The sequence below is a fragment of the Homo sapiens genome, chromosome 4 (genome assembly GCF_000001405.40).
Source record: "Homo sapiens chromosome 4, GRCh38.p14 Primary Assembly".
Classification (NCBI taxonomy): Eukaryota; Metazoa; Chordata; class Mammalia; order Primates; family Hominidae; genus Homo; species Homo sapiens.
The window spans coordinates 63495270-63509956 of NC_000004.12; the positions used below are offsets into that span (position 1 = coordinate 63495270).

Here is a 14687-nt window from a genome sequence, read left to right on the forward strand (position 1 = left end):
GGACAGACTCCTTCCTTCTGCTGGAGGATAAGAGAGGGAAGAGTAAAGAGGACTTTGCAACTTAGATACAAGCTCAGCCACAGTAGGATAGACTACCAGCAATGTCCTGAGCACTACATGCAAGGCCTTAGCTCCTGGACAATATTGCTGGACACACTCTGGGTCAGAAGGGAACTTGCTGCTTTAAAGGGAAGAACCACGTCCTTGCAAGATTCATCACCTACTAACTAAGGGGCCCTCAGGCCATGAATAATATTTGTGTTACCCAGACAGTATTAGCCACCAGCATCGGGTAGGACCCAGGGCTGTTCTGGCTTCAGGTCATACCCAGCTCATTCTTAGCTGTGTTGGCCTTGGCGAGAGCTTCTGTCTGCTTGAAGAAAGGAGAGGAAAGAGCGAGGTCTTTGTTTTGCAGCTTGGGTGCTGACTCAGACACAGTAGAATAGAGCACCATGTAGATTACTAAGATTCCTGATTCCAGACCCTGGCTCCTGGGCAGCATTTCTGAACTCACCCTGGGCTGAGAGGGAGAGTTCACTGCCCTTAAGGGAAGGACAAAAGCCTAGTATGATTTGCAACCTGCTTAGTGAAGAGTCCTTGGGCCTTGAGTGAACATTGGTAGTAGCCAGGCAGTGATACTGCAGGTATTGGGCAAGTTGCAGTACGGTCTTGGCTTTGCATATGAACCAGCACAGTCCCAGTGGTGGTGGCCACAGTGAAGACTGATTGTTTTAACCCTTCCCACAACCAGGCTGCTCAGCACAGAGAGAGAGACTCCATTTGTTTGGAGGGGAGTAAGGGAAGAAAGCAGGAGTCTTTGCCTGGTAATCTAGGGAATTATTTTGAGTCTTACCCTAGATCACCATCTTATAAAGTTATAAACTTACAAATCTTATAAAGTCACAGCAATCATGGGCTTTGGGTGCACCCTAATGTACATATGGGTACAATGACCAAAGACTTAGATCACAACACTCAATTCTCTTTGAATAACTGGAAAGACTTCCCAAGAAGGACCAATAAAAACAAGCCTAGACTGTGAAGGCTACAATAAATACTGAACTCTTCAATGCCCAGACATTGATAAACATCAGTACTACCTAGGAAGCATCATTACCATCTAGGAAAACATGACCTCACTAAACAAATTATATAAGGCACCAGCTACCAATCCTGGAGGGACAGGAAAATCATCTCTTTAGACAGAGAATTTAAAATAGTTGCTGTGAGGTAACTCAACAAAATTCAATATAACACAGAGAAAGAATTCAGAATCTTATCATATTTAACAAAGCGATTGCAATAAGTTAAAACAATTGAGCAAAAATGCTGAGATAAAAAAATTTAAATGACATGAAGAATGCATCCGAATCAACCACAGAATTGATCAAGCAGAAGAAATAATTATGAGATTGATGACACGCTACTTGAAAATACAGTCAGAGAAGACAAAAGAAAATGTGCAAAAACTAATTAAGCATACTCACAAGATTGAGGAAACAGCCCCTAAGGGCAAATTTAAGAGATATTGGCCTTAAAGAGGAGCTAGAGAGAGAACTTGGAGTAGAAAGTTTATCCAAAAGGATAATAGCACAGTGTTTTCCAAACCTGGAGAAAGATATCAACATTCAAGTATAAGAAAGTTATAGAACACCAAGCAGATTTTATTAAAAAAGGACTATCTCAAGGGATTTGATAATCAAACTCCAGAATATCAATAATAAAGACAGGATCCTAATAGCAGCAACAGAAAAGGAACAGATAACATACAATGCAGCTCCAATTCTTCAGGCAGAAGACTTAGTGGAAACCTTGCAGGCTAGGAGACAGTGACATCACATGTTTAAAGTGCTGATAGAAAAAAAAAATACTTTTACCCCAGAATAGTCTATCCAGTGAAAATATCCTTCAAACATGAAGAAATGAAGATGTTTCCAGAAAAACAAAACCTGAGGAATTTTATTAACACCAGACCTATCCTACAGAAAATGATAAAGGAAGTTCTTCATTCTAAAAGAAAAGATACTAAGAAGAAATAAGAAAACATTTGAAGGTACAAAACTCTCTGGTAATAGTAAATACACAGAAAAACAGTATGTTATTACACTACAATTGTGGCATGTAAATTGTTCATATCTTGAGTAGAAAAAAGTAAATGATGAACCTATCAAAAATAATAACCGCAATATTTTTTCCAGACAGATAGTATAATATGATATAAATAGAAATAAAAAGTTAAAAAGTAGAGAAATGTACTTAAAATGTAGAGTTTTTATTCTTATCTTTGTTTGTCTGTTAGTTTATTTGTTTGTTTTTCCAATCAGTGTTGTCATCAGTTTAAAATAAAATCACCCCACTGCACTCCAGCCTGGGTGACACAGTGAGACTCCGTCTCAAAAAATAAAAAAGGAAAAAGAAAATATTCAAATAAAATTAGAGATGGAAAAGGAGACATAACAACTGATACTGTTAAAATTCAAAGGATTGCTGGAGAATACTATAAATAGCTATATACCAATAAATTGGAAAACCTAGAAGAAATGGATACATTCTTAGACACGTACAACCTAGAAATATTGAATCATGAAGAAATCCAAAACCTAAATAGACCAATAACAAGTAATGATATCAAACCCATGATTAAAAGTCATCCAGCAAAGACAAGCCAAGGACCTGAAGGCTTTACTGCTAAATGTTTGGTAAAAGTTTAAATACACAAAGATCAATCAAAATGAATTAAAGGCTTAAATCTAAGACCTCAAAACATGAAACTAGTAGAAGAAAACTTGGGGAAGCTCCCTAAGACATTGATCTGAACTTAAGTTTCTTGAGTAATACCTCAGAAGCACAGGCAAGCAAAGCAAAAATGGACAAATGGGATCACATCAGGTTTAAAAGCTTCTGCACAGCAAAACAAATAAACAAACAAACAAAAAACAAAGAGACAACCCACAGAATGAGAAATATTTGCCAACTATCCAACAAGAGATTAATAACCAGAATATATAAAGAGCTCAAATAACTCAAAAAATATAAGAATTCAATTACATAGGCAAAATATCTAAACAGACATTTCTCAAGAGAAGACATAAAAATGACAAACAGTTATATTGAATGGTGATCAACATCATTGATCATTAAATAAATGCAAACCAAAACTACAATGAGATATCATCTCACCCCAGTTAAAATGGCTTTTATCCAAAAGACAGGCAGTAATAAATGCAAATGATGATGTGAGCAAAAGGGAACCCTCATACACTGTTAAAGGAGATGTAAATTAGCACAACCATTATGAAGAACAGTTTGGAGGCTTTTCAAAAAATGTCCAATAGGTCAAGTGTGGTGGCTCTTGCCTTTAACCCCAGAACTTTGAGAGGCAGTGGCACGTGGATCATTAGAGTCCAGGAGTAGGAGACCAGCCTGGGCAACATGGGGAGACTTTATCTCTACAAAAAATACAAAAAATTAGTCGGCCAGCAGATCACGAGGTCAGGAGATCAAGATCATCCTGGCTAACACGGTGAAACCCTGTCTCTATTAAAAAAAAATACAAAAAATTAGCCAGGCGTGGCGGTAGGCACCTGTAGTCCCAGCTACTTGGGAGGCTGAGGCAGGAGAATGGTGTGAATCCAGGAGGCAGAGCTTGCAGTGAGCCCAGATCGCGCTACTGAACTCCAGCCCAGGTGACAGAGCAAGACTCCGTCTGAAAAAAAAAAAAAAAAATTAGTCAAGAATTGTGGCAGACACCTTTAGTCCCAGCTATTTGGGAGGGTGAGACAAGAGGTCAAGGCTTCAGTGAGCTGTGATTGCACCACTGCACTCCAGCCTGGGTAATGGAGTGAGACCCTATTCTCAAAAAAATTACAAAGAGAGCTGCAAGCCCACTGCTAGCTATCTACCCCAAAGAAAGGAAATCAGTATATCAAAGAGATATTTGCATTCCAATGTTTATTGCAGCACTATTCACAATAGCCAATATTTAGAAGCAACCTAAGCGTCTATCAACAGATGAATGGATAATTAAAATGTGATATATATTTGCAATGGAGTACTATTCAGCCATAAGAAATGAGATCCTGTCATTTGAAACAATATGGATAGAAATGGTTGATATTATATTAAATGAAATAAACCAGGTGCCAAAAGACAAAGTTTGCATATTCTCACTCATGTGTGGGAGTTAAACATTAAAACAATTGAACTAATGGAAATAGAGAGTAGAATGATGGTTACCAGAGACTGAGAAGAGCATTGGGGAGGGTAAGGGGAAATGAGGAAGTTAATGGATACAAAAATATAGTCAGGTAGAATGAATAAGATCCAGTATTTTATAGCATGATGAAGTAACTTACAGTCAATAATAATTGATTGTACATTTAAAAATAACTAAAAGGGTGAAATTGGAATATTTTTAAGAAAGAAATGATAAATGCTTGAGGTAATGGACACAGCATTTACCCTGATGTGCTTATTAATCATTGTATCCTTGTGTCAATATATCTCATACGTCCTTTAAATACATACACCTGGCCTGGCTTGGTGGCTCAGGCCTGTAATCCCAGCATTTTGGGAGGCTAAGGCTGGCAGATCACTTGAGGCCAGGAGTCAAGAGCAGCCTGGCCAACATGGCGAAATCCCGTCTTTACTAAAAATACAAAAAATTATCCGGGCGTGCGCTTGTAATCTCAGCTACTCAGGAGCCTGAGGTATGATAATCACTTGAACCCAGGAGGTGGAGGTTGCAATGAGTTGAGATCATGCCACTGCACTCCAGCCTGGGCAACAGAGTAAGACTGTCTTAAAAAAAAATTTACTTGCACTTACTATGTACCCATAAGAATTAGAAATTAAAAAATAATAGTGATAAAATGTTAATATCAAATATAGACTTTCTATTCAAGTTTCTCCAATTATTTAAAGAATGTGTGATTTTTAATATTCCTTATAACAATTTTGTTTTTTAATTCAAGAGCCAATCAAAAGTTTATCAATAATTTATAATTTTGAAATAATTTCCCTTCTTATATTGTTTCTTTCATGATATTAATATTTTTAAAGGGTACAGGAAACATTAAAATTGTTGTCTGAATAATAGCATTTCTGAAATTGAGGTTATTAAGGCACATATTTCTTAAGAAGGGCAAGGTTTAGAACTAAGCTATTCAATATGGTATCAACTATTCATATATAAGTAGTTAAATTTAGATTTAAGTTAGTAAAATAAAATAAAATAAAAATTTATTTTTTCAATTGCACTAGCCACATTTCAAATGCTGTATAGTCATTTGAAGCTAGTGGATATTATTCTGGACAATGCAGATACAAAACTTTTTTTCCACTGCATTAATTTTTGTTGAACATCACTTGTATAGGACATAACTACATTTTTGGTGGCTAAAGTGATATGAGTGCATATACATTTAGTTAAAACATAGGTGTAACCTGTAACAAAATGACTAAAAATATCGATGTTTATTCCTCTTTGATTTTCTGATTTGAATAAAAGAATTTCAATTCTGAAAGAGAATCTTTACAATGTTAGAAGCTTAATTTTGTTTTATCTTATTACTCTATCATTCTCAGCACATGACTTTATAATTCATATCTAAATACAAGATAGCTACCCCATTTATCGTCATTAAATCTACACCCAAATCCATGTTTCAAAGTGAAAGAAGAAAATGAGGGTGCTCCCAGTTTTGTTAAAGTTAAAAAATAAAAGTATGCATAGCTTTCTTTAATATTGCATTGGCAAACATGTGGTCACATAGCCTCAAATATCTCCAAGTATGCCACAAAATAATTGTCTTTAGCAAAGCAGCCCTGTATCCAGCTAAAACTCAAGAGGTTCTAAATCTCAAAGGGAAAAATGGTGTTGGAGGATAACTAACTGTATCTGTTAATGTATTGGACTAAGAAAAAAAAGCTCATTTTATATTGCATCATTATAGTGTTCTGATTAGTATGGTATTAAATCCATAGTCTCAGGAACTAATGATATAAATCATGATATTAAATATATTAATAGTCATTTTTTAGGGATGCCAAGATAATTGTTTAGAGCTTTGGGGTTTTCAGAGCACTTTTCCATGTTTATCTCATGTATTCTTTTGTTAATACAAAATCTGGATGATCTTTGCTCAAGGTTTAGTGTGTTCTGGGAACAGTTCAAGGTCGTCCAGATATGGAAGCAAGCAAAAGAGACAAGAATTGTGTCACTATAAACATAAAAACAGCTACATCAGATATTTTCAATTGTAGTTATTTATATCGATAAAAATAAACATATGAGAGTGTCTGGGATCACTTTAGCTAAGATACTGAGGTAAAGCCTCTCTAATTCAAGCCGAACACAGAAACACAAAATTATTTTCACATTGTTCAGATATGACATAGGATTAGTTAGGGGAAAATTAACAGGAAGAGAAATTGTAGAACACATGCAGTTAACTGATGGGACATTATTCCATAAATATTCATAGATATGCATCTTGGGCACATTTCCAGCAGAAATGGCTTTTCCTAAAATGGCAGGCTAGACAAAGGGAAGAGGATGCCTCATAAGAAAGAATGCACTCTACTGCCACACTGCAATAAATATTTACAGGTTATCATAACAAGGTTTAAGGATTACCTAGCTTCCCTAGGATAGACATATATACAGACCCAGAGAAAACAATAAGGAACATGCATACCAAGGGCTAAGAACTAACTGCACTCCAAGAATCCTGGGAACATGATGTATACCAAGAATGCTGACCTCATGCAAAGGCCTTTTACCACCAACAGCTGACTCCATCCAACTGATGAGTTCTAATTAACTACCCATACGAAAAATGAAACAAAACTCCAGGGACAACTAGTTTTGTCTACCACCTCTATAGAGATTGCATTAAATCTGCTATTTCAGTGATGAGTTGTAGCCATATGTAAATCTCCAGGGAAAAATACTCTTAGGGAAAACCAGTATTTGGCAATTCCAAAAGCAGATTTTGGAACTGATCTTCCTAATAAGGACACTTGTCAGGGCTGGGAATACAATTATGCAAATTAAAGAAAAACAAAATCCAACTTCAGTTTAAGTAAAACCTTTCCCCATAATTTGCTTCAATCAGTAATAGTGAGCATTTCTTTAATTATAATTCAGGAAAAATAAGGTTCTAGGAATGTATTATTTACTATTAAATATTACTAAGTTAGACTGAAATAATTATCATGATATATTTATTAACATCCCTATCTACAGAGAAAGACAGAGAAGTTTGGTATAATTATTTCACTAATTGTGAAGGGTCAAACTACCACTTGAAAACACTGTATCTGGTTCTAAATCCCGACACACCACTTATTTCCAGGAAGGAATAGAAGGGAATACTCTGACTTTGTATTTCTTGGCACCATTCTCCAATATATTTTGTATTTGAAAGAGGATTTGGCATGTCTCTATATAAAAATAATCCAAGGAGGAATACATTTAACACAGTTTTCTAATAAATTACTTTCCAGCTTCTGCAACCATAACATACCAGCAACTTAATTCATAAACTCTCAAGATAGTGACTTTGTCCATAAAACTCATTTATGCATTAATACAATATCCTCAGCAAGTTATGAACCTCAATAAAAGTGAGAGATTAAAGAATAATTAAAATAGTTTTTGTTTGTGTAAGGTGAGGCCTTTCACAGTAGAAATTATAAAATATACAATCTCAGCAAAAATATTTATTGCCTTTTGTATGTTGTTATTAATTTTTATTATTTGAATCTGTTAGCTTAGAAAATGACCTATTCTGTCTGTGCACAGATCTTTCTTTCTTTTTATGATTTCACTGCTTATTTCACATATGGGGGGACATGTGAAGATTTGTTACATTGGAATATAGCATTATGCTGAGGTTTGGAGTCTACACAATCCCATGATCCAGGTAGTAATCATAGTACCCAATAGGTAGTTTTTTAACCCATTCACCCTCCGCTCTTTGTTATTCCAAGTGTCTGTTGTTCCCACATTTATGTCCATGTGTGATCAATGTTTAGCTGCCACTTCTAAATAAGGACATGTGGCATTTAAATTTCTGTTTCTGCATTAATTTGTTTAAGATTATGGTCTCCAGCTCAATCCATGTTGCTGCAAAGGACATGATTTCATTCTTTTTATGGCTGTGTAGTACTCCATGATGTATATATGCCACATTTTCTTTATCCACTCTGCCACTGATGATCACCTGGGTTGATTCCATGTCTCTGTTATTGCGAATGGCACAGCAATTAACACACAAGTGCATAAGTCTTTTTGATAGAATAATTTACTTTTTTGAAGGGGGTATTTACCCAATAAGAGATCTGTTGAGTAAAATGGTAGCTCTGTTTTAAGTTCTTTGAGGAATCTCCAGACTGCTTTCCACAACTGCTAGACTAATTTACATTCCCACTAACAGCGTATGAGCATTCCCTTTTCTCTGCAGCCTTGCCAGCAACTGATGTTTTTTGACTTTTTAATAACAGCCATTCTGGTGTGTGACATGGTATCTTATTGTGGTTTTAATTTGCATTTCTCTGATGATTAGTGACACTGAGCATTTTTTCATGTTTTTTGGCCACTTGTATGTCTTCTTTTGAGAAGTGTCTATTCATATCCTTTGCCTATTTTAAATAGGGTTGTTTTTTGCTTAATTTGTTGCCTTTGTCAGATGCATAATTTGTGAATATCTTCTTCCATTCTGTAGTCATCGGTTGCTCTGTTGATAGATTTTTGGTTTTTGTTGTTTTTTGTTTTCCCTTTCCCTGAGCAGAAGCTCTGTAGTTTAATTAGGTCCTATTTGTCTATTTTTATTTTTATTGAAATTGCTTTTGGAGACATAGCCAAAAATTATTTGCCATGACTGATGTTGAGAAGAATATTTCTTAGATTGTGTTCTAGGATTTTTATAGTCTGATGACTTATATTTAAATCTTTGATTCACTTTGAGTTAATTTTTGTACATGGTAAAAATCAGGTGTCCAACTTCAATCTTCTGCATATGGTTAATCGATTATCCCATCACAATTTATCAAATAGAGAATCCATTCCCCATTTCTTGTTTTTATCAGCCTTGTCAAAGATCAGATAGCTGTAGATGTGCAACTTTGTTTCTGGGTTCTCCATTTTGTTCTATTTGTCTATGTGTCTGTTTTGGAACCAGTCCCAAGGTGTTTTGCTTACTGTGGCTTTATTCCTGGGATGTGAAGCAATAAATGTAATTCACCACATAAACAGAATCAAAAGTGAAAGCCATATGATCATCTCAATAGATGCAGTAAAAGCTTTCAGTAAAATCCAACATCTTCATAAAAACCTCTCAACAGATTAGGCATCAAAAAACATACCTCAAATAATAAAGCCATCTATGTCAAACCCACAGCCAATATCATACTGAATGGGCAAAAGCTAGAAACCATTTGCCTTAAGAACTGGAAAGAAACAAGGAAGCTCACTCTTACCACTCCTATTCAACATAGCACTAGAAGACCTAGCAAAAACAATCAGGCAAAAGAAATAAATAAAAGGTATCCAAATAAGAAAATAAGTCAAACTATCTCTGTTCACTGACAGTAAGACCCTATACCTAGAATATCTTAATCTTTCAAAAGGCTTCTAAAACTGATAAACTAGTTTAGTAAAATTTTAGGATATAAAATCAATGTACAAAAATCAGCAGCATTTTATACACTCAACAAGATACAGGCTGAGAGTAAAATCAAGAACACATTCCACTTACAATAGCCACAAAGAAAATCAAATATCTATGAATATAGCTAATGAAGGAGGTGGACAGTCTCTACAAGGAGAACTGCAAAACACTGCTGAAGGAAATCAAAGATGACACAAATAAATGGAAAAATATTTTATGCTTATGGATTGGAAGAATCAATATCATAAAAATGGCCATAGTGCTCAACTCAATTTACAGATTCAATGCTATTTCTATCAAACTACCAATGTCATTCCTCACAGAATTAGAAGCGTTATTCTGAAACTCATATAAAACCAAAGGAGAGCCCAAATAGCTAAGACTAAGCAAAATGAACAAAACAGGAGGCATCACATTACCCAACTTCAAACTATACTAAGAAAAGTTTGATTGAAAAAAGATTTTAAGTATTACCTTTCTTAAAATTTTAAATTTACTGTATCTCTCTTTAATGCAGTATTTTTCTTCAATTTTACTCATATTTTCTGTCTTTCTAAAAGTTGTGATAAAATGTTCCATATATCATAATGAATCCCTGTTATTTGGTGGCTGTTGAGTTTTCTGGATTTTTGGAAATCAAATATCATTACCTTAGACAAAGCAACATTATTTCATCAATATAAATATATGATCTTCAGTGCCTGAAATAAGAATCCCTATGGGAGGGAGGGGCCAAGATGGTCAAATAGAAACAGCTCCAGTCTGCAGCTCCCAATGCAGAAGGTGGGTGATTTCTGCATTTTCAACTGAGATTTCCAGTTCATCTCACTGGGACTAGTTAGTCAGTGGGTGCAACCCAAGGAGAGTGAGCAGAAGCAGAGTGGGGCATTGCTACACCCAGGAAGTGCAAGAAGCCAGGGGACCTCCTTCCTCCACCCAAGGGAAGCCATGAGAGACTGTGCTACCAAGCCAGAGTACTATATTTTTCTCATGGCTTTCGCAATCCACAGATCAGGAGATTCCCTTGTGAGCTTACACCACCAGGGTCCTGGGTTTCAAGCACAAAACTGGGCAGCTGTTTAGGCAGGCACTGAGTTAACTGAAGGAGTTTTTTTCATACCCCAGTGGTGTCTGAAACCCCAGTAAGACAGAACCATTCACTCCCCTGGAAAGGGGGCTGAAACCAGGGAACCAAGTGGTCTCACTCAGTGGGTTTCACTCCCATGGAGCCCAGCAAGCTGAAAACCACTGGCTTGAAATTCTCACTGCCAGCACAGCAGTCTCCAGACTGGGATGATAGGGCTCAGTGGGGGAGGGGCATCCAGCATTACTGAGGTTGTAGCAAGCAGTTTTCCCCTGACAGTGCTAAGGAGACTGAGACATTTGGACTGGGCGGAATTCACCACAGCAGAACAAAGCACCTGTGGCCAGACTGCTTCTCTAAATTCCTCCTCACTGGGCACAGCATCTCTGAAGGAAATGCAGCAGCCCCAGTCAGGGCCTTACAGATAAAACCCTCATCTTCCTGAGACAGAGCACTTCGGGGAAGGGGCAGCTGTAGGTCAAGCTTCAGTGGACTTAATTTTTCCTGAATGTCAGCTCTGAAGAGGGCAGCTGATCCTGACAAGAGGGATTCTCCCAGTACAGCACACCAGCTCTGCTAAGGCACAGACAGCCTCCTCAAGTGTTTCCCTGACCCCCGTGTCTCCTGACTGAGAGAGATTTCCCAACAGGGGTCAACAGACACCTCAAACAGGAGAGCTCTGGCTGGCATCAGCCCAGTGCCCCCTGGGATGAAGCTTCCAGAGGAAGGAACAGGCAGTAATCTTTGCTGTTCTGCAGCCTCCGCTGGTGATATCCAGGAAAACAGGGTCTGGAGTGAACCTCCAGCAACTTGCAGCAGACCTGCAGAAGAGGGGCTTGACTTTTAGAAGAAAAAATAACAAACAGAAACAACAACAACAACATCAACAACAAAGACCCCACACAAAAACCCCATCCAAAGGTCATAAGCCTCAAAGATCAAAGGTAGATAAATCCACGAAGATTAAAAAAAAAAAAAAAGTGAAAAAATGCTGAAAATTCAAAAAACCTGAATGCCTCTTCTCCTCCAAATCATTTCAACTCCTCTCCAGCCAGAGCACAAAACTGAATGGAGAATGAGATTGATGAATTGACAGAAGTAGGCTTCAGAAGGTCAGAAATGACAAACTCCTCTGAGCTAAAGGAGCATGTTTTAACCCAATGCAAGGGAGCTAAGAACCTTGATAAAATGTTACAGAAATTGCTAACTAGAATAACCAGTTTAGAGAGGAACATATATGACCTGATGGAGCTGAAAAACACAGCATGATAACTTCGTGAAGCATACACAAGTATCAGGAGCCGAATCAAGCAAGTGGAAGAAAGGATATCAGAGTTTGAAGATCACACTTGCTTAAAGAAGGCGTGAGACAAGATTAGAGATAAAAGAATGAAAAGGATTGAACAACGCCTCCAAGAAGTATGAGACTATATGAAAAGACCATACCTACAATTGATTGATGTACCTGAAAGTGACGGGGAGAATGGAACCAAGTTGGAAAACACACTTCCGGATATTATCAGGAGAACTTCCCCAACCTAGCAAGACAGGCCAACATTCAATTCAGGAAATACAGAGAATACCAAAAAGATGCTCCTCGAGAAGATCAACCCCAAGACACAAAATCATCAGATTATCCAAGGTTGAAATGAAGGAAAAAATGTTAAAGGCAGCCAGAGAGAAAGGTCAGGTCACCTCAAAGGGAAGCCCATCAGACTAACAGTGGATCTCTCTGCAGAAACCCTACAAACCAGAAGAGAGTGGGGCCGATATTCAGCATTCTTAAATAAAATAATTTTCAACCCAGAATTTCATGTGTAGCCAAAGTAAACTTCATAAGCAAAGGAGAAATAAAATTTTTTTACAGACAAGCAACTGCTGAGGGATCTTGTCTCCATCAGGGCAGCCTTACAAGAGCTCCTGAAGGAGGCACTAATTATGGAAAGGAAAAACTGGTACCAGCAACTGCAAAAACACACCAAAATATAAAGATCAATGACACTATGAAGAAACTTCATCAACTAATGTGCAAAATAACCAGCTAGCATCATGATGACAGAATCAAATTCACACATAACAATGTTAAACTCAATGTAAATGGGCTAAATACCCCAATTAAAAGACACAGACTGGTAATTGGATAAAGAGTCAAGAACAAACGTTGTGCTGTATTGAAGAGGCCCATCTCACTTGCAAGGACACACATAGGCTCAAAATAAAGGAATGGGGGAATATTTACCAAGAAAATGGAAAGAAAATAAAAGCAGGGGTTGCAATCCTAGTCTCTGATAAAACAGACTTTAAACCAACATAGATCAAAACAGACAGGGAAGGCATAGTGGCACACACCTGTAATCCCAGCTACTCAGGAGGCTGAGGCAGAACCCAGATTCATAAAACAAGTTATCAGAGACCTACAAAGAGACATAGACTCCCATAAAATAATAGTGGGAGACTTTAAAACCCCTGTCAGTATTAGACAAGTCAACAAGACAGAAAATTAACAAGGATATTCAGGATTTGAACTCACCTCTGGATCAAGTGGACCTAATAGACATCTGCAGAGCTCTACATCCCAAATTAAGTCTTCTCAGTGCCACATGGCACTTATTCTAAAATCAACCACATAATTGGAAGTAAAACACTCCTCAGCAAATGCAAAAAAAATAATAAAATGGAAATCATAACAAACAGTCTCTCAGACCACAGTGCAATCAAATTAGAATGCAGGATTAAGAAATTCACTCAAAACTGCACAAACACATAGACATTGAACAACCTGCTCCTGAAAGACTACTGGGTAAATAACAAAAATTAAGGCAGAAATAACAAAGTTCTTTGAAACCAATGAGAACAAAGAGGCAACGTACCAGAATCTCTGGGACACAGCTTAACTAGTTTAAGAGGGAAATTTATAGCACTAAATGCCCACATCAGAAAGTGGGAAAGATCTGAAATTGACACCCCAACGTCACAATTAAAAGAACTAGAGAAGTAAGAGTAAACAAATTCAAAAGCTAGCAGAAGACAAGAAATAACTAAGATCAGAGAAGAACTGAGGAAGATAGACACATGAAAAACCCTTCAAAAAAGCAATGAATCCAAGAGCTGTTTTTTTGAAAAACTTAACAAAATAGATATATTGCTAGCTAGACTAATAAAGAAGAAAAGAGAGAAGAATCAAATAGACACAATAAAAAATGATAAAGAGAATATCACCACTGTTCCCACAGAAATACAAACTACCATTAGAGAATACTATGAACACCTCTACGTAAATAAACTAGAAAATCTAGAAGATAGGAAAAATTCCTGGACACAGACACCTTCCCAAGACTAAACCATGAAGAAGTTGAATTCCTGAATAGACCAATAAGAAGTTCTGAAATTGAGGCAGTAATAGCCTACCAACAAAAAGAAGTGCAGGATCAGATAGATTCATAGCTGAATTCTACCAGAGGTACAAAGAGGAGCTGGTACCATTCCTTCTGAAACTATACCAAACAATAAAAAAAGAGGGACTCCTCTCAAACTCTTTTTTGGGGGTCAGCATCATCCTGATTCCCAAACCTGGCAGAGACACAACAAAAAAAGACAATTTCAGGCCAATATCCCTGTTGAACATCTATGTAAACATCCTCAATAAAATATTGGCAAATTGAATCCAGCAGCACATCAAAAAGCTTATCCACCATGATCAAGTCGACTTCATCCCTGGGATGCAAGGCTGGATCAACATACACAAATCAATAAACATAATCCATCACATAAACAGAAACAATGACAAAAACCACATGATTATCTCAATAGATGCAGAAAAGGCCTTTGATAAAATTCCACATCCCTTCACATTAAAAACTCTCAATAAATTAGGTATTCATGGAACATATCTCAAAATAATAAAAGCTACTTATGACAAACCCATAGCT

General features: G+C 36.9%; 1 long non-coding RNA gene across 3 annotated transcripts in view; it reads right to left on the minus strand.

Moving 5' to 3' along the window:
• LOC105377253 (uncharacterized) overlaps positions 1-14687 on the minus strand; it is a 66503-nt gene that overhangs the window by 32031 nt on the left and 19785 nt on the right. The window lies entirely within an intron of this gene.